Genomic DNA, 23,666 nt, shown 5'->3' with positions numbered 1-23,666 from the left:
GGGGCAAGCCTGTGCTCCCAGCTCCTCAGGGGGTGAAGTGGGAGGATGGCTTGAGCCCAGGAGGTGGAGACTGCAGTGAGCTAGGATTGCACCACTGCACTCTAGTCTGGGTGACAGAGCAAGACCCTGTTTCATAAAATAAAGTAGGCCAGGCGTGGTGGCTCACACCTGTAATCCCAGCACTTTGGGAGACCGAGGTGGGTGGATCACGAGGTCAGGAGTTTGAGACCAGCCTGGACAACATGGTGAAACCCCATCTCTACTAAAAATACAAAAAATTAGCCAGGCGTGGTGGTAGGGTGGGGGACACCTGTAATCCCAGCTACTCGGGAGGCTGAGGCAGGAGAATCGCTTGAACCCGGAAGGCAGAGGTTGCAGTGAGCCAAGATCGCGCCATTGCACTCCAGCCCAGGCAACAGTGTGAGACTCCTTCTCAAAAACAAACAAACAAACACGTGTTTTTTTTAGGAAGAGAAAAGGCTGATGTGGGGTGAGGGGATGGGGGAGGGATAGCATTACAAGATATAACTAATGTAAATGCCGAGTTAATGGGTGCAGCACACCAACATGGCACATGTACCCTAGAACTTAAAGTATAATAAAAAATATATATATACATATAAATAAAATAAAAAGAAAAGGCTGAAACATCTTAGTTTCCATTTCAAGCCAGAAAAAGAACAGCAAACTAAACACAAAGAAAGTAGAAAATGAAAATGATAAAGATGAGAGCAGAAATCAGTGAAAAAATCCCCTGGCTCCTACAGGCCAAGCCCGGGGCAGGTCAGGTGGGTCCCCCTCCAGCACGCTGGCCCTGGCGGGTGCACTCACCTACAGGGTTCATTGTCACCTGATCCCTCCAGGCTGGGTTGAATGTCCCTGCTCTGTGTGCCCACAGACTGCATCCCATCACAGCTCCTACCTGGACCATCACCGTCCCAGCAGTGGAAGAGTGGGAGCCGGGAAACAGGCAGAGACTGTGGACTCACCTCGAGGGGTAGTGCAGCCTCGAGGCTGAGTGCAGGGCTGTGGGGACAGCCCCCCTAGTTTTGCATCTTGGTGCCACTATTAACTTGCTGCATGGCCTGGGGCAAGTTACTTAACCTCCCTGAGCCTTGATTTCCTCATCCATAAAGAGGAAATAATGATAGCACTTATCTGTAGGAGTACCCCATGGAATACATAAGGTAAGCCATGGAAAGCTAGGAGACAGTGCCTGGAACTCAATAAGTAACGGTGGGTGCTGCTGTTGCCATCTTGTGCACAGGAGGTAGCACAGTGCCTGGCACGTAGTAGGTGTTCAGAAAACATTTGGCACCTAAAGAGAGGCCCTAGCTCTTAAGAACAAGAGCCGTGCAGGCTCACTAAGGGTGCATTCTCTCCAAAAGGCAGTTTGGTCTCCCCAGAGCTGACCACACTGCCAATTCCCCCTTGGTGACCAGCCGCCTTATCCAGAAGAGGGCTGCTGACCTGCCCCTCCCAACACAGGAACAATCAGGCTGCTGCCTATTTGCATGTGATTTGCATATCATTTCCTCTCTTGCCCAAACTCCGCACTGGCTCCCCAGTTTGCTGACATCCCACCTCCTGTATCCTTCTGCCCCCTCTTCCTGTTCTCTGAGCCCTATAGGACTAGGTCCAGATGAGACTTCACTGGTGCGCCTCCAGGAGGACCCAACCAGGGTTTCTGCACTCTACCTGTCGCTACGTACCAGGATCCTCTTATAGGGGAAATCTTTCAGGCCCCTGTTCCTGGGGGAGTCAAAGACCACGGGGAAGGATTTGTGAGGGGCCTCGATGTAGCCAAACTCCATCTCGTCCTGGGAGGGGAGAGATGAAAAAGCCACAGTGACCTTTTTCGGGTGGTTTACAGAACAGGGTGGTCCCCACCAGGCCTGGGGCAGGGCAGGGCAGCGGGTCTTCCCTAAGACCTGGTGAGGGGCAGAGGTAGAAGTGAGGCCTCTTAGGACCCCAGCCAGGAGAGGACTTTCATCTGGGACCAGAGCGTTTGGAGGGAAGCAGTGGAGGCTGGGGCTGATGCAGGCAGCGGAAAAGCCCTCGCCCCAGAGGCCTGGCCCAGGCTGCCGTGGCTTCTCTAGCGACACTGGGTCCATCAGGCACCTGTGCGGCTTCCCTTTCCCCAAGCCAGGCTGCAGGCTTCCCGAGCTGCCCCCAGCTCCCACCTGGATCCAGCGGTCATTTCGATTTTCAACTTGAGGGCAGATGGTCAGCTTGCAGTTGGCTTTCAATGTCAGATAAGACATGTCCTCCAGGAATTTCTCATTGGAGCCATGAGTGTCCATCACTCTGTAAAAGGTAGGGAGAGGGGAGCATGCTAATGGCCTCTGACTGTGGCTGAGGTGTGAGTGGCCTTCAGTTTGTGCTGGGCCCTGTGCAGCCTCTGGGGTACAGGGGTTCCAGTTCATGACCTTGAGAGGCTCATAGGCGCATGGGGAAGATGGATAAAGTCTCCAGATCACATCAGGTGACAGGTGCAAGGTGAGGCATAAGCGCGGGCAGTGGTGCCCAGAGGCAGGGCACCTAACCCAGCACAGGGAGTCAGGGAAGTCGCCACAGAGGTGACCTGAGGCTGAATCTTTTGGGTTAAAATAGCAGTGAGGGGCAGGTAGCCCCATCTACTCCTGTTCCACACAATTGGCCTAAGCAAAGGGGTCAGGGTGGGGTTAGCAAGCAGGAGAACAGTCTCTTTTTAACACCTACACACACCTAGACCCGGGGAAGCAGAGCAAACCTGTTTGGCCACACCCTTCCCAGCCTTTTAACTTATGACCAGCTCAACTGTGGCTTTTTCCAGTGGTCTGACCTCTGGCACAGAGGCCTGGCAGGGCTTTGCCAATCGAGGCTGATCCTTCCCTCAAGGGCATGATGAGGATTCTGAGAGACGGCAGAAGGACCAGCAAGCTGGGTGAGATCGGGCTTGCAGAGACTGGGTTCCCATGTCCATAGCAGGCAAGGGATCGTACCCATGTTACAGTGAGGGTAGGTCTCCGATGGCCACCAGCAGCCTGTGCAGGGCCTGGCTCCACTGCCCAGACTAAATCTGAGATGTTCTGGGGCTGCAGCCACAGGACAGGATGGGCAGGAAAGCCAGAGCTTGAGCCAGTGACCTGGGAGAGGCCTTAGCTGCACAGGGCAGGGTGGGTCAGGGTTGGGCAGGGTGGGGCCCCAGCCCACCTGCTGCTGTCCTGCCACCAGCTCTGCCTGAATGGGTGCCCGCAATGAATCCGTCGGTGTGAGTGAGGGGCGCAGCCCTGAGGCAGCTTCTGTCCCTACCTCTGCACTCCAGACTTGGGGGAGGGCTGGAGGGAGGGAGCCTCACCTGCACACATACAGCTCCTCAGGAGGCTGAGTGTTGGGCGTCATGATCCAGGGGGCCATGCGGAAGCCCACAGTGTCTGTGAAGAGGGTCACCTCGGGCAGGGTCTGAGGGGAAAATGAGGACTTGGTGGGCCCTGCAGGGACCCCTAGCCTGCCTCAAGCCCCCCCAGCCCCCAGCCTGCCCAGCCCTGGAGCCTGCAAACTGGGCCCCCAAACCCCTCAGCCTCCTTGGCCACCCCCCAGTGCTGTACACACCCCCGGGTCCACCAGGCTGACACTGAGGGAAACCAGCCCTAGGAAATCGGCATCGGGGAAGGTCAGCCCCTCCACATAGAACTTGATCTCCTGCTCCCCTGGCTGTCGCTCAACTTCATAGGACAGACACTGGGGCCCCAGCACCTGTTTGTAGTCCGAGAGAGAATTCCCACCTAGGAAGAACAAGAGTCAGGGGCTAGCGAGGAGACAGGGGTGAGGGGCTGCAAGCCCAGGAATCCAGGACAGAGCCCCCTTTGTGGTTAGAGCAGCTTGGGTTCCTCTCTGGCTCTGCCACGTGCAAGCTGCATGGCCTTAGCTCAATGACTCAACCTCTCTAAGCCTCAGTTTCTTATCTGTAAAATGGCTAACATTTTCTCATGAGGCCAATATAAACTTTAAACTAAATAAAGAGATAGAAGCACCTGGCACAAAAGGTGAAAATTACCCATGGATAAATAGATATGCAAAATGTAATATATTCATAAGATGGAATATTATTAATTCGTAAAAAGTAATGACCAGACAGGTATGGTGGCTCATGTCTATAATCCCAGCACTTTGGGAGGCCAAGGCGGGAGGATCACTTGAGACCAGCCTGGGTAACATAGGGAGACCCCATCTCTACAAAAAATTTTTTAAAATAGCCAGGCGTGGTGGCACATGTCTGTAGTCCCAGCTACTCGGGAGGCTGAGGTGGGAGTATCGCTTGAGCCCGGGAGTTCAAGGCTGCAGTGAGCCGTGATAGCATCACTGCACGCCAGCCTGGACAACAGAGTGAGACCCTGTCTCTAAAACATAAGAAAAGTAATGAAGCACTGATTCATGCTACACCATGGATGAACCTTGAAGACATTATGCTAACTAAAAGAAGCCTATTGTATGGTTCCATTTATATGAAATATCCAGATAGGGAATTTCAGAGATACAGAGAGCACATTGGTGGCTGCACACGGCAAGAGAGGCTATCCATTCACTTGTCGAGACTTTGCTTACGCCCTGGTGTCACACTAAGTACTTTTAAGCTGAGTCCTCTGCCTAAACATCCACCACTGGTGCATGGGAGGGAACATTCTGGCTCCTGCCAGGCTCATTTAGCTGGAACAACAAGCTCTGGGTCAGTTTGAACAGCGAAGGGTGAAGGGGAATCGGGAAGGGGTAGAAGCCTGTTGCTGTTTGTAAAAACAAGTAAGAGCAGTCCGGGGTTAAGGAGTGGTAATTTATTTATTTATTTATTTATTTATTTATTTATTTATTTATTTATTTATTTGAGACAGGGTCTCACTCTGTCTCCCAGGCTGGAGTGCAGTGGCATGAACACGGCTCCCTGCAGCCTTGACTTCCTGGGCTCAAGTGATCCTCCCACTTCAGCCTTCAGAGTAGCTGGGACTACAGGCTAATTTTTTTGTATGTTTTGTAGAGACAAGGTTTTGCCATGTTGCCCAGGCTGGTCTCAAACTCCTGGGCTCAAGTGATCCTCCCGCCTTGGCCTCCCAAAGTGCTGGAATTATAGGCATGAGCCACTGGGCCCGGCCAATTTTTTCTTTTTCTTTTTTTTTTTTTTTGAGATGAAGTCTTGCACTGTCACCCAGGCTGGAGTGCAGTGGCATGATCTTGGTTCACTCACCCAGGCTGGAGTGCAGTGGCATGATCTTGGTTCACTGCAACCTCTGCCTCCTGGGTTTGAGTGATTCTCCTGCCTCAACCTCCCGAGTAGCTGGGACTACAGGCATGAGTCTCCACACCCAGCTAATTTTTTTTTTTTTTTTTAGACAGAGTCTCACTCTGTCGCCCAGGCTGGAGTGCAGTGGCGTGATCTCAGCTCACTGCAAGCTCCACCTCTTGCCTTAACCTCCGGAGCAGCTGGGACTACAGGCACCTGCCGCCACACCTGGCTAATTTTTTTGTATTTTTTAGTGGAAACGGGTTTTCTCCATGTTAGCCAGGATGTTCTCGATCTCCTGACCTTGTGATCCACCCTCCTCGGCCTCTCAAAGTGCTAGGATTACAGGTGTGAGCCACCGTGCCCGGCCTAATTTTTGTATTTTTAATAGAGACAGGGTTTCACTGTGTTGGCCAGGCTGCTCTCAAACTCCTGACCTCAGGTGATCCGCCTCCCAAAGTACTGGGATTACAGATGTGAGTCATTGCGCCCAGCCTTGGCCATATTTTTTTAAGCCACAGGCTGATTAATAAAAACTCTGATGAGAAAGACAGGTTCTGGGGCCAGAGGCAGGGCCCGGGCCTCAGCCTCACTGGTTCTCACGCCCTCCCTGCCTGGACAGTGCTTGGCATGCAGTTCAGTCCACGCTGATTGACCAGAGGAGGGAACGGGTGTGGGGCAATGGTAAAAGGAGGAGCTTTGGTGCACCCAAGACACCTGGGTTGGAATGCCTGCTCCACCCCAGATGGTTGTGCCATAGTGAATTCCTGCATCTGAGCCTCGGTTTTCCTCTCCATAAAATGGAACTCGTTGTTGTTGAACCTCCTCCTTGAGGACTATATTTGGTACTGATGGAGTGGTTGTTTGTAAGCTGTAATGAGAGTTACAAAAAGGTGATGGAAAAAAAGAGAGAGAGATGGGGGAGGAGAGGATAGATATGGATGGAGCTGGGAGGAAAAGGCCCCATCAGGCCACTCACCCCTGGCACAGAAGACCCTCACTCTTTTGGAATCAGAAAAGGGCACGTTCAAGACAAGCTTGTGGCTGTCGAAGAGCTTGTCGGGGCCATTGCAGCTCAGCAGCATTGGGGACATGTCCTGCAGGTCTGGAGAGAGTGGCCCTCTTGAGATCGCCCTTTCTCCACCCCACCAACAGGATCCACTTCCATCCCCCTTCCCCACTCCCCAGACAACACCTTGTGTCACTCACCAGCCAGCGACATCAGCCAGCTGTGGGTGAGGTCAGGCTCTGCGGACCTGTGATTGTCCCGGTCACAGTTCACCAGCAAGATAGCCCCATAGCCCTCAGGGCCCCAGCGCCAGGTTTTCTGTGGCAAAATAAGATGCCTTGGGATCAGTGGGACCCAGGAGGCTCCAGGAAGGGGTTCTAGACATGGCCAGGGCGGGCTGCTTTATTAGATTATAGATTTTCATATTTTTAGTTTGCTTAAAGATTTTAAAAAGGATTATTTGGGGAATGGAGTTCCAGATAAGGCTCTAGACCCACCTCATCCTTGTGCAGTGAGCAACCTGCACAACCATACACAATGGCTCTACCCAGCCATCACACTGGAGAAGCAAAGGTGTCATTACCACACCAAGAAATGGCCCTCAAAAGCTGGCTAAGCTTTAGCTCTGCCTGTGGGGCGGGGGTGGGCAGAGGCTGCCTGCCATGACCTTGATGAGGGTCGGGATCTGGAGAATCTTTGGGAGACCCTTCCCATCCCAGCACTCTCCTGGAACCTGTCCCATAGATATCTCTGGCATCCGCATGCAGTCCTGCAGGCTCTGCAAGCTGAGGTCTGAGCCAAGTCGGGAAACATGGCTGGAGCTCTCCCTGCCTCTGTGGTTGCTGCTGTCCCCAACACACCTCCCCACCAGACCCACAAGGCAGGGCTTACTTTCCCCATTTCACAGAAGGGTGCGGGGAGGTTCTGAGAGGTGAGTCCCAAGCCGCATAGCTGGCCTTTAAACCCAGGTTCTTGGGATTGCACAGGGCCACTGTTAGCCTTTATGGCACTCTTGCCCACCCTCTGGGTAGATGCCACTCTGCAGCAGGGCCCTAGACATGATTTGTATCATAGTTGCCACCATGCCCAAGCAGTCTTGTGCAGTGAACAACCCACGCAGCCATCCATGGCAGCCCTGCCCACCTTGTCCTCAAAGCTTTGTGATCCAGGCTGCCTCTCTGGAGTCTTTCCCTTTAAATTGTACCTTCTACCCCTCCCAGGACAGCTTCCAGATAGTTCCTGTGGGGTGACGCCTTGAGCCCACTCTGTCCTCCTCCTTACTCTTCAGGTGTTACCTGGGGCTGACCACCATAGCCTCCTCTACCCCAAGGCTTGTCTTCTCCTTGCCTTCTGTCACTCAACAATCTTTTAGGAAGCACTCCCACATGTGTAGGGGTCCAAATATAGCCCTCAAAATAAAAAAGGCAGCAACAAAAGAACCAATCCCAATTTCAAAGTGGCACAAGAGAGACCCAGAGAGGGTAAGCTGTTTTCCAGCAGTCACACAGCATGTCGGTTACAGGGTGTAGGTTAATGTCCACTCATGCCAATTTTGCTGTCCCAGATGGGTTCCCTACATGGTTGGATACTACAGACCCTGGGGATCCATCATTCTTCTGGAGGGAGGGCACAATCCACCCGGGACCACCCCAAGTTTGCCTTTCAACCCCGCAGCCTTGGGGTGCCCGGAAGGGTCTCACCTTGTCCCCTTGGCTCCTCTTCACCTTGCCTGTGCGGCCTGTGTCAACCTCAAGGGAAATATCTGCAAAGAGATGGAGAGGGGCTGCCAGGGGCTCATCCAGCCCCATCTTCACACCCCTAAAGTCCAGGTTGGGCAAACTCTGACCCCTCCCCAAGCCCGTGAGGACTGGAAGCCCTGTCTGGGGGTCAGACCCCACACTTGGGAGACCTCTGTGGCTTGCCCTGTGGTTCTGGGAGTTGGAGGGACCCAAGCCTTTGGCTCTTGAATCACTTGCTTGCCTGTGCATGTCCACCTGCTAGCTCTTGGTGGCTTTGGGGTTCCAAATCATATGCTGGTGACCCCAAACTCTGAGAACTGGGGACATGGCCTGAGGTTGCAGGGGCTGGGTTCTGCCGTTACATTGACCCTGGCCCTGGCTGAAGGGGGCACGTTCCGTGCTGGGTCTTGGAGGTCTAATGAGGGTATACGTGGGACTCTGGATGAAGGAGGCTTATTGTGGGTCTAGCCGTTGTTCACTGGGCAGTGAAGTTTCTAGATCCTTGTGGTCCTAAGGACTGCTGGGTCTCAATCCCTGTGGTTCCAGAGTGGACAGAAGGTCCCGAGGAATCCAAGCCCCTCAGTGATGGAGGAAGCTGGCCATGGGTCTTCCACTCCAAGGAATCCACTAAGACCCTCAAACAGTCAACCTGGAGGGGCAAAGGGATAGATGGGCAGCCAGGGAGCTGCTACTTACCGACGCCAGTGAGGTAAAGCACGCTGCGGCCCAGAGCTTGGTCTTCCTGCTCCCCAAAGTAGGAGACCCTCACCTGCAGAACATAGCCCTAAGCCTGCACGGCCATCACCTTCAGAGATGGCGGAGGCAGAGGTGATGAGGGACACATCCTGACAGCCCTACTTAGAGGCACAGGAGGCCTGGAGACCCCCCCAGTCTCTGAAGTCCCAAGACTCAAGGGCTCCCGGCTGGGATTCAGAGCTACCTTCTCCAGCAAGTGGCTGTGGAGCCCACCTTGGTTCCCAGAGCAGGTGTGAGGAGCAAGGAGGGTGGGGGAAAGGTGGAGGGATGGGAAAGGTGGGGCAGCTCCCAGCAGGAGCAGCTGGCAGATGAGGGAGGAGCAGCCGGCTCCATCGACTTAGGCAAGTCTCTCAGCTCCTCTAAGCCTCGGGTAGTTCCTCAATAAGATGGGAATGAGAACCCCCACTCCATCACCCCAGTCAGTGGTCCTGGAGCTTTTAGCGTGGTCCAGAATCCGTGCCAAGCCCTCCAGCCGGGTCATCCCAGTGAGCCCCTGGGATGGCCCCAGTCGACAGGAGACTGTCCGGACCCTGCCTGCAGTCCAGCAGTCCCTCAGCTAGCAAGCAGAGGAGGTGGGGTCTGAGCCCACAGTGGGCTCCTGAGCCCCTCCCTCAACAGCTGCTTTATCCCTGCCTTTTCCCTGTCGGGGAGAAAGGGCCATGTCTAGGATTTGGGTGCTGGGGGCTGGGGCGAGTGAGGAGGGACTCGTCTGAGCTTCGGGCAGGCGATGAGAGAGAAGGTTGGCTTAGGTGTGGGAGATCCGTGCACACAAAGATGTGGACGTGTGTGTGTGCACCTGCACGGGTTGTTGTTGTGCGGTCCTGCCCACACGAGAGCACTGGGGCATCTTGCTGGGTCCGTGTGTGGGCTGAATACAGGGATTAATGTGAAGTTGTCTGTGAATCTGAGGGGGTGACTAGGAGAGCTTGTGTTTTGTGGGAGTACTCACGTGTACATGTGTGATACTGGAGTGGTGGTGGAGGTTTGCGTGTTTTGGGCGTCAGTGGCATTGTATCAGGATACGTTTTGTGTATGTACTGTGATAAGCTTTGTGAGGTTTGGTTAAGTGGGGAGCTTTGGAATGGGAATTGCCAATGTGGGGCTCTTACCTTGGATGGGGGTGGAGAGATCCAACCCTTTTCTATGAGAAAGTGGCCTCTTACCTTGAAGTCCTTTAATTCCTTACTGGCTGTGCCCACAGATACGACCATGTCTGCATCAGTGTCTAGCGGCCAACGGGCCTTGCCTATGGGCTCTTTCACACGTGTGCGGTTGTAGACCATGAAGACCTCCACCCCGGAGCTTCCAGAGACCCTGAAGCTGTTGGCACCCTTGGGCACATCACTGGCAGAGAAGAGAGATGGGAAGAGAACCAGTCTTCCCATCTCTCTTCAGGGGAGTGGCCACAGTGGGGTGGGGGCTTGGGGCTGCCAGGCCGTTCAAATGGCACCCCTCAACAGTCAGGCTGGGGAGGCACAGGGCAGTGCCACTGGCCAGGAGCATCTGGAAGCCAGGGCATAGATGGTAAACCCTTGGACACCCCCAGCCCACACCCAAGTCCTTTCCAGATCTGACACTTCCAAACTCTCCAGCTCAACAGAGATCCACTAACCCACCACCTCTCACCACCTCCACTGACATCACTGCGGCCCAAGCCACCATCACCCCTCGCCTGGATCACCGAGCAGCTTTCTCATGGGTCCGTGGTCCCACCCAGGCCCCTCCAGTCTGTTTTGCACACAGCAGAGCGTGTTGTTCCTTTGCTGGAAAGCAGTGGTTTCCATCAAACTCAGTAAAAGGCAGAATCCTCTTGAGTAGCATAAGAGGCCCTTCTGATGCGCCCCTGCCACCTTGCTGACTGCCTCCTCCCTACTACGCTTTCCCTCGCTCACTTAGCTCCAGCCACGCTGGCCTTCCTGTTGTGCCATGAAGATGGCAAGGCTGTCCTGGCACTGCCCGCTCCTGCTGCATGGACTGCTCCTCCCCAAGATGTCCACAAGTCTCCTTCCCTCACCCTCTTCAAGGCTCTGCCTAAATGTCACCTTCTCAGCAAGCTCCTGCCCCCACCCAATCACTCCATTTAATGCTGCACCTTGCCCACCTTTCCCCCCGACTGATCCCCCATCTCCCTTCCCCTGCTCTGATTCTTTTTTTTTTTTTTTCTTGAGACAGAGTCTCACTCTCTCACCCAGGTTGGAGTGCAGTGGTGCAGTCTCTGCTCACTGCAACCTCCGCCTCCCAGGTTCAAGCGATTCTCCCACCTCAATGCCAGTCAACTGTCCATCTCTCTTGCTAGAAGGTCAGCTCCACAAGGGCAGGAATTTTATCTGTTTTGTTCACAGCTGCATCCCCAGCACCTATAACAGTGTCTGGCACATGGTAGGTGTAGGTGCCCAATAAACACGTGTGAATGAATGGATGCATTCTCACTTTCTGCCACTCTGCAGGGGGATTCAAGCCCATCTGCACTTGAGTGGAGATCTAGAACTTGACTAATGCCAGCACCCCGTGCAACTTCTTTCCATCACCCAATACACCGCATTCACCTGATACATCAGAGCTCTGGGATCAAGAAATGGGTGTTGAGAAGCCTCCCATCTGCCTTGGCCCCAGCCTGGGGCACTCATCTGCCGGGCCCCCACCCTACCCCTCACACCACCAGCTGCTCCCAGCCACAGCTGGTTGGGGCCAGCCTTCCTGGCCCACAGCATCAGAGGGGGATGCACTGCAAACTCAGGCTACAGGGCACGCAGAGCAAAACCAACAGGGCCTCTGTGGGTGGCATCTCATTCTTCTTCATCCCCTGCATAAGCGTGAACTATGGCCTCTCTGTGCCAGGCACTGCACTAATCCCCAGAGTTCCAGGAGGCTCTTGAGCCTGTGGCGCTCACACTCTGGAGAGGAGGTTGAATGAGAGAACTACACATTGGTGCTTGTTCTTCCTTTGTAAGTCAGGGCTCTCCAACATCATCCCCCACGGCAGAGCCATCAGCCACCAGGACACCACCCAAGGTCAAGTCCACTTACAGACATCCACCTGACTACAAAGATGCTGCTGGAGGAATTTTGTCTGTTTTGCTCACAGCTGCATCCCCAACACCTGTAACAGTGTCTGGCCCATAGTAGGTGCTCAATAAACACTTGTTAATAAATGGTTGGATTCTCACTTTCTGCCACTCTGCAAAAGGGGTCCTTCTGCATATTCTCCCGCCTTCATCCTTTCCTGGACCCCTAAAAAACCACCCAAATATTCAGCCCTCTGGAGAAACCAGACCCCCTCCACAACCTCTGCCATGATCACTTGGCCCCATCAAAAAACTGTCTCCATTGACTGCGGTGACAACAGTCCTAATTCCAACAATCACGAGTCCTACTTGGCGCTCCCTAATGCTCATCACAACCCCCCAAAGCAAAGATTATAATCCCCATTTTACAGAAGAGGCAGGAGTGTGCAGGGGCCCCAGGAGCCCCTGCAGGCTGCTGGCAAGACCCACCTCCCCCATCCCCCACTCCTGGCCTTACAATCACCACATTCCACAGCACTTTTGGGGGTCCTCGCACCTTACCTGCTCTTCCTCATCGTTTACATCAGTTGCCATGGAAACCCCAAGTCTCCTGGACTATCATCCTCTCATCTGACCCCCTTCCTCATCCTCCCCAACTCCCTTTCAATCCCAGCCACCATCATCTGCACGATATCCTCAGTCCCACCCTGGACAGTTTCCTTGATCTTGTACTGTAAAAGAAGCCTGCCCCCAATAGCAGGCATGGCCTCCCCTTCAGCCATCTCCCTGGTGACTGCTTCCCCCTTACTCCCTCCAGCCCCTGGGCCTGGAGGTGGGCAAGGGTCCTTCATGCTCCTCAATGTCCCTTCCAGATCATCATCTTTCTTCACTCCGTAAACCCCCAGCTTTGCATTGACATTTCCAGACTACACCACCCATCTACAGGGACACCTTTGCACACCATCGCTCTGTCCTCATCTCGAGGGTGCCAGCTCCTGCCATGTTCCTCAGCCGGCTGCCGTCACCAGTTTATACTTCAATGGCGATGTAGATGGTGTGCTGCACCCTGGTCCCTCAGTCCCTTGACCTCTCATCCAATGCTCCTGTCCTCCACCTGGCCTCATCCCCTCCTTCACGGGGCAGGTGCTATAGAATGTTATTATCAAAAAACTGCACCCACTACAAGCTCCCCTGTTAGCAACCCACTCGGACACCGCTTCCCAATATTCCAGCTCACTCCTAACACACCAGTGCAACCAAACCTTCAGCCCACTGGGACGCTTGACCTTTGAAGGCTGAGTCCTCTCTACTCGCCCCCCACTGCTGTCCCTCATCCCTCATGTTCCCTCTTCCCTTCCCCAGGATAGTCCCATAGATCCCATAGTCCCCCGCTGCGGCCACCCCCTTGCTCCACTCCCTAATCTTTTGCTCATCCTTCCCTCCCTTGAGCTGCCTGGCAGAGCTCCAGCTATACAATCAGATCCAACTCTCCACCCCCTCTGCACCTGCACCACGCGGCTGACCATGGTTCACTTGGACTCATGACTGCTGACCTCAATGGATGCGTGACATGCTCGTGCTCCTACAGCATTGCTCCAGGCTCTTTTCTCTTTCAGTGTCCTAGAGGACTATGTCCTATCTTCTCCTATCTCCAGAAGCCTCCCCACTCTTCCCCCTTGTCACTCAGAGCCTTCAACCTCCCTCCTCCCACCACCTCATCTCCCAGCCCTCCTGCCTTTGAGTCCACGACCATGCCTGCCCTCCTGGGAAGAGGGGTGTGCTGTCTGGGCTCTTGCCCAAGACCAGCCCTCCTGGGGCACATCCCCTACTCAAGGGCATCACTGGCCTTGCCCCTTCTCCCCTCCCTTGCACCCAGCACACAGACGTGAATATCACCCATCCCCAAACTCATTCTCCTTTGACCTCCTCATTTCTTCTGCTCCCTTGACACCTCCAATTATTTCTTCTCTTTGCGTCTGCAACCTGCCTCTAATCAGCCTTTCCTCCCACCACACCAAGGAAACTCCACTGTTGCCAAACCCAGTGGGTCTTTTCTCTTCTTCCCCTCATTGACCTGTCAGAGGCACTTGGCCCAGATGATCACCTGTCTTTGAAACACTTTCCCACTTGGCAGCTGGGACACGGGCTCTGCTTGCTCTCCTCTGACTCCGTGGCCTTTCCTCTAATGCCTTTGCTGTGTCACTCCCCCTTACCCCCTAACTCCAGGCAGTGGTGTGCTGGCAAATGTTTAACAACCAGCTCTCTGGAGTGGGGGGGTTCTTATGCATATATATGTATATATAAATTTATTATAAATTTTACTGATGTAAATAGTGTGTAGCACATAATGTAAAAATAATAGTATAATACATATAATTCTTTATTGTAAAATGTGTTGTAAATTCTATATAGTACATTGATTCCTCCAGATGCCCTCTCTTGCAACTGTAGCCAACCTGTGGTTGCAATTTGACCATGATTTGACCAATGCAATTGCATCCCAATCTGCTCATTCTTTCCTCCATAAGTTTATTGTCACTAAATCTGATATGTGACGTAAACGTTGGTTGATATTTTTGTTGGCATTCACGAATAAGATGAAAGGGGAAACAATGAAGATGCATGTCACCCTTCATTCATTCATCTAGGATATGAGCAACCTCTTTGCTGAATCAGATAATCCTGGAGGAACATTTCATCAATTTTTGGTACTAACCACAATGTCATGGCTATAGACGCAATACACTTTTAAATTGAGTTGACATTGTTAACCTGTCTCCATCACTTTCTGAACTCTAGGCATTTGATAAAACGATGAATGAAGCCCTGATTTGTAGCCTTGACCAATGTCTGTGGTGTAAACACTCCCACTCTAGCCAGTTTCAAGTTACCAGCCCAACATCATTGGACTCAGAGTTTCAAAGAGCTGCATAATAGCACCTCGTGACATCACTATTTCCACTATATCTGGACAATGGTAAAATGCAGTAAAATAATTAAGCAGTGATGAGTTTTCAGTACTACTGCCTTTGTTTTTAATATAATTTGCTTAATTGTGTGTATATTTAATTTTAAATAGTGGCTGTGTTTAACAAGGGGTTCATAACCTTCTTAAAAATTAAACAATCAGATCTCCTTGAGGAAGGACCCTGGTACATTGCCACAAACACACTGTTCAACTTTCTCCCAGCCTTCCCCGAGAGGACACACAACTTTTTACCAGGGTGACTGTCACTGGGGAAAAGGAAATAATCGTACATTTCTAGTTCTCCTGCACACCGGCCCTGAACTGGTCTAGGAGACCCTAAACAACACTGCGGCCCACCTGGCAGAGCAGGGGCTCATGGAGGCCAGGTGATCCATGGAGTTTCAGCTCAGGTTCATCTTACAGTGGGTCCAGTAGCCCCTGAGCCCATGTGTGGTTCCGCCCCACCCCAACAAGTTCTGAAATGTGTAATTGGAATAGGCACCATCGGCAACGGGCAGAATCCCTACACTGGTACTCTTCAGAGTGCGGCTGGCCCCAGCGCACCTGGCTTAGGGCTCAGCCTCCCCTCTCCTCCTCTCCTCCCCTCCCTCCCCTCTCCTCCTCTCCTCCCCTCCCTCCCCTCTCCTCTCCTCCTTTCTTCTGTCTACACCCACTCCCTTGGTTTTCTCCACCTGCCACATCAATATGGTTAGAACTCTCAGACTTCTTGCTTTCTGAGTTTCTCCCTGGGTGTCTACCAGGCATTTTATTTTATTTATTTTTTATTTTTTGAGACAACGTCGTGCTCTGTCACCCAGGCTGGAGTGCAAAGGCATGATCTCAGCTCACTGCAACCTCTGCCTCCTGGGTTCAAGCGATTCTCCTGCCTCAGCCTCCCAAGTAGCTGGGATTACAGGAGCTCACCACCACGCCAGCTAATTTTTGTATTTTTAGTAGAGATGGGGTTTCGCCATGTTGGCCAGGCTGGTCTTGAACTCCCGACCTCAAGTGATCTGCCAACCTCGGCCTCCCACAGTGCTGGGATTACAGGCGTGAGCCACTGCGCCCAGCCCTACCAAGCATTTTAAATTTCACACATCCAAAGCCAAACTCCTGCTTCCCCATGCCCACTCCTTCCCCACTCCTTTCAAACCTGCTCCTGCCCAACCCACCGCAAGTCTGTCCATAGCAGCTCCACCTTCCAATTCAGCCTCACCTCCTCTTGTTCCCTCACTCGCACAGCCAGCCCCTCAGCAAATCCCATCAGCTCCACCTTCATAGCAACTGCAGACCCTGACCGCTCTCACCTCTGCCACAGCTCACATCCTGTCCAAGCCACCAGTTGCTTCCATGTGGATTTTTATCATAGGCCAGTGACCTGCTTCCCCTCTCTCCCCACAGTCCAGCTTCAACATAGCAGCCAGAGGGACCTTTTAAAATAGAAGTCCCGTTGCATCCCTCCTGCTCAGAGGCTGTCACCAGAGCCTGTGTGGCCTCCCAGGCTTTCCTGACCCATTGCTTTCCCTCCCCACGCCCTCTTGCTTGTTCCTGCCGTTCTTCAAGCATGCCAGGGCTGCAGCTCTGTCTGTCCGGAATGTTCCTGTCACCAATCCCTGCGGTCCGCCCAGCCCCTCACTTCCTTCTCTCAGGGTAGCATACGAGGCCTTTCTGATGTACCCTTCTTGCCTGTTGCAAATGGCGTGACACAAATGACACCATGAGTCTGGTTCCCCAACCCCAGCTTCATTCCAGCCCATGGCACCGGCCACCTCCCAGCCACCTGACAGAGCACATATCTGCTCATTGCAGTCTCTCCCTCTAAAATGCAGAGATTTTTTTTCTGTTTTATGCTGTCTGCATCGCTGCTGTCATCTCTGCATCCAGCTTAGTGCCTGGCATGAACCAGGGGCACAATCAACGCGTTCTGGACAAGGACACAGCGACTCAGGATGGTGGAGTGGCTTTCTCAGGACTGCCCAGCGGGGAGGTGGCTGAGTCATGATTGAATCCAGTCGGCCTGGCCCATGAGTTCCAAGAGCAAGTAGCCACAAGCCCAGGGCACCCAGCTGGCAGCAGAAGGGTTTCTAGCTCATGGGTGACTCCTGCTCCACCCCACTCAGGGACCACCGGTGCCAGACACAGCCCTTTCAAGGGAAGCAGGACTCTGTGGAGCCAATCCCTAGCTTTGGGCAAAAGTTGACATCTCTAAGTCACAGCCCCCTATTTGGAGTCTTGGTAGAAAATGATGATGATGATGATGATGACGATGATGATGATGATGAAAGAAGGGGGAAGAAATGACAGGTACAATTTCTCTGGGGCTATCAAGACCCTCCAAGCCCAGCCTAGCTTCCTGTAGTCTAGATCTGCTCCCTCCCCACCCCAAACTTGCTCAATAGCTCACACCTCTGTTCACCTCTCTCTGGGGTGCTGGGCTCCTGGTCTCAGTGTCTCCCTCCCCTGTGAGTAACAGATGAGTGGGCAGTGCCTAGAGGGGTCAGGCCTTGGGGGAAATGTGGCTTCCTGCAGGAGACACCTGCTATGCAGGTCTGAGGCCCAGGGCCACTCCCACAGGCATGGGGAGGGGCCTATTCTAGTTCCCAGCCCCACTGCCTTCAAGACTTGGTTCCCATCACCCCCATCCAGGTCAGCTTCAGCTACAGAAGAGCGGCAGGTACCCCAGCAGGAGCTTTGAAAACCACCAGGAAGAGGCAGGAGGAGGGGTCTGCTTATTCTCTCTGGCACCCAAGCAAGGCAGGTTATGCCGGGTGAGCCCTGCGCTGCCTTTGATTCTCATTCCCTTGGCATCCTACCCCAACCCTTGCCCCGGGGCTGGGAGACGGGGCTTATACTGCCTTTCCTTATCTCTCAGGTGCCCAGATCTGTGGGCCTGGTCATGGATGAAGGGCTGCCCTTGGGAGGTGTGACAGGCAGGAGTGGGAGCTTGTGGGGAGCCCCAGGCCACCCTGCAGTGGGCTGTATTGCGCCAGCTTTCTGGAGCTGCTCCCGGCTTCCTCCAAATCTAATAATCCTCTCCAAGATGCTTCTCTTTGGTGATGTCTCATGATGTAGCCCCCAGACCTAACCAACCCCCAGATATGCAGTACTGGCATGTCCCCAAATGCACAGTCAGGTGAGGTCACAGATTTGAAAGCACCCCTCCAAATAAAAAAGGCCAAATCATTACCACTACAGGAGTCACCCTGTCAGGTGTCTTGGTAATCACTGTTATATCATCATGGTTTCCACTGTTATGCTGATGAGCCTGCCCCTCACCAGGCTGCTCCCCCATCTCTGCTGGGCCAAGTCATGGGGCGGGGGGCAGGGGGGTCTTTTGCATTCTTCAAGACCCACTTCAAATGCCACCTCTTCCATGGAGTGAAGTGTGGGTTCTGTGTGGAGCATGGCCTCCAACTGGGTCACTCAACTGCCTCGATTTTCCTCCGCTGTAAAATGGACACAATCCCAAGAGCTACTTCCTAGACTGTTGGAGGGATTCCCTGAGATGATGACTTCTCAGCGTTAGATGCTGTCACCATGGTTACAATTACTCTTCTCAGAATCCCCAGACAGCCCAACTCACTCCAGCCAGAAACCTTATGTGCTTCCTCTGTGCCCCCATGGCCCTGGTTCAGACCTTCCTGGGGGCCACTTCACATCTCGTCTGCGCCGCCCAGAGCAGCGTCCTCCTACTCACCCTGCAATGCCCACCAACCTCATGCCCACAGCAGGGCCAGTTGCATCAGGTTCAATAGAGAGGTTATGGGCAGAATGGGGTGAATTCTTAGAGAATCTCACAAAAGGAGACGCGGAGGGCGGGATGAGGAGTGTAAAACCAACTACTCTCCACCCCTGCCCGCCTCCTGTGGTAAGGTGCAGGTTCACCCACTGGTTATGGCATAAGGCAGCATGTTCCATGGGTTCTAGTGGGGCAGGGAAAGAGCCTGCATTTTCAAGCACCTGCCGTGTGCCAGGCACGTGCTTAGCTTTTGCTATCCATGATCTCATCTAGACTTCACTCCAACTCCTGCTCCCCGACCAAGGTAGGTGTTACTTGTCACAGGGTAATGACGGCCGGTAATGCAGGAGTAAAAGAATTTACCAGGACAGCTGTGTGTAAAGGAAAGCAGATTGATTACAGAAAGTAGGAAAATACATCGCCAGAGACACAAAAGTCAGCCTTCAAGAAAGAAGCCTCTCTCTGGGGTGAAGCCGACTGCAAAGAAACAAAGACTTGCTGGGGATTTTATAGGACGATGTTTATCTGTCTGTTGAAGAGGGCTTTGTGCAGTACTGATTATGCCCAGGCCGCGGGGAGCTCAGTTGCAGGGGTCTGGTGAAAGCTGGGTGCAGGAAGATTGTGAGTTACTTGCATAGGAGGGCAATGCGTCCTGGACCATGAAGAAAGGCAGGCTTGGAGCTGATCAGCTTTCTTTTCTTTTTTTACTTTTCCCTGCTCCTACCAGCCTGGTAGGAGATTACGTCCCCACTTCACAGATGAAGAAATCTCGGAGAAGTTAAGTAACTTTACTCAGGTCACCCAGATAGCAAAGTGAGAAGCTGTCCTGGCTGGTATTAAAATGAGTGCGTGTGTGCCCTGAGCATGCCCTTGTCGGGGACTGGAAGGAGGAGACGATCAGGGATGTCGGAAGGAAACAGGAATGTGTTGAGAGAGTGTGCAATTCGAGCTCCTCTGCATGGCTCTTTGGCAGCAGGCCAGGGAGGCCTAGGGAGGGTGGCGGCACCAAGGCAGGAAAGCCACAGCCCCCTGGCCCCACCACACACCCACATCTTACAGCGGCAAGGCGAGGGGGGTGGTGCCTGTGATCTTCTTGTCCTTGTCTGCCCTAAAATGACAGAAGAGACCAGGGAGCATCTTGCATAGCATAGGCCTTGGGTCAGAGACGGGCCTTGGAGGTCATCCCGGCCAGCCCCCTGCCCACTCCCAAAGACTGACAGCTCACTACCTCACACCCCTCTCTGCTTTGACAGTTCAGGTAATTAGAAAGCTTTTCCTTTTGCGTGGCTGCAACTTGCTTCCCAGAAGCCTCGGCCCACTGGGGCTCCACCGGCCAAATCTTAGGTCAACAGCTCAGAAATGTACCACCTGGTCTCTAGGGAGAAGAGAAATACAGCAGTCACAGAGGAATGCTTCCCTGCCAACTGTCCTATCCTGCACTTTGGACATGGCCAGATCCTGGGGGCAGAAACTGAGTGGGTGGGGGTGGGGGCCAATGTGCTCTTGGGGGTCGTCTGGGGCACTGTGCTGGATGAGTGGTGGGGGCAGGAGGGGGAGAATCAGGCAGAATCGGACGAAAAGGCTGAAGAGCAGGCACTGCTGGCTGAGCCTGTGGCTCCCCTGCACGCCTGGCCAGGATCTGGCCTGCCAGGAGCCCCACAGGTGCCAGCCGCTAGGTGTCCTGGAATGAAGCCACAAGAAATGCCGTAGGGTCAGGCAGCAGGGCCCAGCAAATCTCCTGGGGTGACCAGCTCCGTGGGTGATTCTGCCTGGAGCCAGGGATCTGCCTGGAGGCTGATAGTCCCGGGGTACTGGCCGCCACCCCGTGAGCTCCAGCTAAAGGCCAGCAGCTTCCCTGGGGCACACAGGGCTCCCATTAGTGCTGCCAGTGGCTCTGCCTCAACGTACCTTCCTGGGTAGCTACTGTACATCAGGTCCCATGCTGGGCACCAGGAAAGCAGAGACAAATCATCCTTGGCTTTGCCCTTGTGGGGTCCACAGAGTCTACGGAGGGTTTTTACTCCATTCTCTGATTCCATCCCCATGGCCCCTGCCTGCTAATAGGGGAGTGATTATTCTTCTCCCCATTTTACAGAAAATGAGCTGAAATACAGAGAGGTCACACAGAGGGTGATGGGGCACAGCCGTGCTTGGCCCCTGCCTGGGTCTGATTCCAAAGCTCATCTGCTGCCCTGCCTTCACTTCACCCCTCACTTACCCAGCAACATAGAAGAGTCTCAGAGCCTGGGCAGTCACAGGGTTAGGCTCACAGAATTTAGAACCAGGTGGACCTGGGTCCAAATCCCAGCTCTGGCATTTGTGGGCTGTGTGACTTCAGAAAAGTCTCTTAACCTCTCTGTGTCTCCGCGTGTCTGCAAATGGGGATTATAGTAGTCCCCATCTCACAGGCTTGTTGTGAGGTTTAACTGAGATGGTGCAGTGAGCACTTAAAACAGGGCTGCCGGCTGGGCATGGTGGCTCATGCCTGTAATCCGAGCACTTTGGGAGGCTGAGGTCAGGAGTTCAAGACCAGCCTGGCCTACATAGTAAAACCCCATCTCTATTAAAAATACAAAAAACTAGCTGGGCATGGTGGAGGGAGAGGAATTGCTTCAACCTGGGAGGCGGAGGTTGCAGTGAGCCAAGATCGTGCCACTGCACTCCAGCCTGGGTGACAGAGCAAGACTCCGTCTCAAAAAAAAACAAAAACAAAAACAAAAAACCAGGGCTGCCATCATGATCATTACAGTCACAGAGGGCATCTGAAAGGCATGGAGGAGTGGGCAGACCCGGACAAAAGAGGACACAGGGCCCTGTCGTTAATAGGACCCTGGCACCTCCCTTCACTCTCCTCCCTGACCAAGAAAATGGGTCAGGTGTGCAATTGTTGAAACCCACATCCTGAAATTTGTTTAACTCTCCAACTAGGATGGAAGCTCCTCACATGTGGCCATGGGCCGTATCATCACCGAGTGCCAGAACCCAGCACAGAGCAGGTGCCCGGGAGCAGACGGCCCTGGGGAAAAGACCACAGGAGGTTCCTTGAGATGGGAGGTGTGGGCACCAGACAGTAGGAGGGGGCAGCTCCAACCCCCAGTCCCCTGGCTGCAACCCTGGCTTTAGCTTTCCCCTGCATCCTCTCCCCGGGGCTGGCTGGGGCTGCTGGAGGTTGAGGGAGGGCAATGGCTGATGTCCCAGACCCCTCAGCAGGCTCAGGCATTTTCTCAGGAGTCTAGAATCACACATGATGTGGCTGTGTCCTGTCTTCTCCCTCATTCACAGAAATCACACTAGTGGGTGCCTTATGCCCTGTCATTGCTTGGGGAGGGGCACGCCCAGAGAGCCCAGGCTGAGGGCGCAGGCTGAACCAGCTTTCTCCCAAGTGGAGCTCTGCCCAGCCAGGAATGGAGGCTGGAGAAGAGGGACAGCTTTCACTCACTGGTCTTCCCAGAAGAGATAAACAGGGGCTGGGGACCAGAATGTCCCTGAGAGATAGGGCCCTGAATTTAGAGTCCAAGTCGTGAGTCACCGATCCTCTCCCCAAAGCATGTCCGCATTCTGTGGATTGTGGAATTCCTCAAGGTAAAATGGAAAAAAATTGGCCGGGCGCGGTGGCTCAGGCCTGTAATCCTAGCTACTTGGGGGGCTAAGGCAGAGGATCACTTGAGCCCAAGAGTTTGAGGTTGCACTGAGCCATGGTCACACCACTGCACCCTAGCCTGGGTGACAGAACGAGACCTTGTCTCAAAAAATAAAATAAAATAAAATAAAATAAAAACTTAGGCAGGGTGAGATGGCTCACACCTGTAATCCCAACACTTTGGGAGGCCGAGGTGGGCAGATCACCTGAGGTCAGGAGTTCGAGACCAGCCTGGAAAACACGGCAAAACCTTGTCTCCATTAAAAATACGGGGTGGTGCATAACTGTAATCCCAGCTACTTGGGGGGCAGAGGAGTGCAGGAGAATCACTTGAACCTGGGAGATGGAGGTTGTAGTGAGCCGAGATCATGTCACTGCACTCCAGCCTGGGCAACAGAGTGAGACTCCATCTCAAAAATAAAAATAAAAATAAAATAAAATGGAAAAAATAAAGGTGCCAGCTTCGCAGGTACAAACAATAAGGGATGTCACTCCGAAGAAAACAGGCTCAGAGATGCTAAGTGACTGGCCCAAGGTCACACAGCCTGCAAAGACCAGCTGGAAGTAAAAGGGATGGGAGCTGAGAAGGGAAGAGAAGAAGGCTCAGAGTGAGGAGACATTCCAAGACTAGGATCCAGGAAATGCCAGGAAGGGGTAAGGAGGCGGAAAGCGGAGGGCCTGGGGGGCCAGAGGGAGGGGGAGAGATTCCCAGCCAGTCCCAAAATGGCAAGTGGCAGCTAGGACCCAGGGGAGCAGGGAGTTCCACAGAATTAAGGGGTGGCTGACCTCTGAGGCCCTTCGTGATGTCAATATTTTATGTTTCAAGAATGCTACCCTCTTCCATTCTGAGTCCAGTTTTTACAACCCCCGGGCCTGTCAGGGCCCTGTGGAACTTGCGGAGGACCCCAGCTTCATATTCTCCAGGGACCCTGAAACTTGAACTTTTAATGTCTCTTCTGGTGAATAGTGTTCTTCCTGCTGCAGTGACACAGTGACAGGACGGAGCAGAGAATGTGTCCAGCCAGGGGCCGGCAGCCTGTCGGTCGCTGGAAATTAGTGTCAGTGTCAATCCTGTAATTTTCCCCTGAGGAGCACAATTATGCCTCATTGTTCTTCTGTGCGAGTTAAAAGCATTAATTTACTCGATGTACACATTACACATACCACAAGTTTTCGAACTCTGTTTTGGCATTTTCATTTTCTGAAATACAGAGAATTCCAGAAAATGCATCTGAGAGGCCTGCAGAGTCCCTTCTCCCTATGCCCCTCCAATTCTACCGCTGTCTGATCCTGACTCAGTCTTGCATTGCTGCTTTTGCAGTGGTGGGGAAGGCTTGGGGGAAAGTGCAGGAGAATGTCCCTGTCTCCTACAAGGCCGGCCTTCTGCATCCCAAAGAATAAAGGTTCTTTATGGTCTCCAGCCTCAGGCTCTGGTTCTGGCCTCTGGGCAGTCAAGGAGGGCCACACAGGACCGCAGATGGATTCCTCACACTTCCCACCCCTGTCTTTATTGGCATGAGCCACCTGAACTCCTTAGGCAAGGACAAGGATAGCCA

The 23,666-nt window shown here is 53.4% G+C and overlaps 1 protein-coding gene across 9 annotated transcripts in view, besides 1 other annotated feature; it reads right to left on the bottom strand.

Moving 5' to 3' along the window:
* The window catches only part of PADI1 (peptidyl arginine deiminase 1), a 40,880-nt gene that overhangs the window by 13,616 nt on the left and 3,598 nt on the right, over positions 1-23,666 (bottom strand). For 7 of the 9 annotated variants that reach the window (XR_946619.3, XR_007059265.1, NM_013358.3 and 4 more), the window contains exons 2-10: positions 9,922-10,102; positions 8,699-8,771; positions 7,964-8,025; positions 6,464-6,581; positions 6,234-6,359; positions 3,595-3,767; positions 3,341-3,444; positions 2,184-2,307; positions 1,713-1,820 (exon numbers count right to left, since the gene is read on the bottom strand). Coding sequence is in view for 7 of the 9 variants with exons in the window: in NM_013358.3 (NP_037490.2) it covers positions 1,713-1,820; positions 2,184-2,307; positions 3,341-3,444; positions 3,595-3,767; positions 6,234-6,359; positions 6,464-6,581; positions 7,964-8,025; positions 8,699-8,771; positions 9,922-10,102 (1,069 nt within the window). In the remaining 2 variants the exon portion in view is untranslated. The other 2 variants (XM_017001102.2, XM_017001101.2) reach the window with 2 other exon arrangements.
* Positions 21,681-22,182: an enhancer, noted in NCBI's record as "H3K4me1 hESC enhancer chr1:17536705-17537206 (GRCh37/hg19 assembly coordinates)". NCBI's record gives its function as "activates a minimal SCP1, AML or CMV promoter by ChIP-STARR-seq in naive and primed H9 embryonic stem cells {active_cell/tissue: H9 hESC(naive and primed)}" and the evidence as "EXISTENCE:reporter gene assay evidence [ECO:0000049][PMID:30033119]".

This window comes from Homo sapiens, chromosome 1 (genome assembly GCF_000001405.40).
Source record: "Homo sapiens chromosome 1, GRCh38.p14 Primary Assembly".
NCBI lineage: Eukaryota > Metazoa > Chordata > Mammalia > Primates > Hominidae > Homo > Homo sapiens.
The sequence above is the reverse complement of the archived record's forward strand: the minus strand, read 5'-3'. Positions and strand labels throughout refer to the sequence as shown.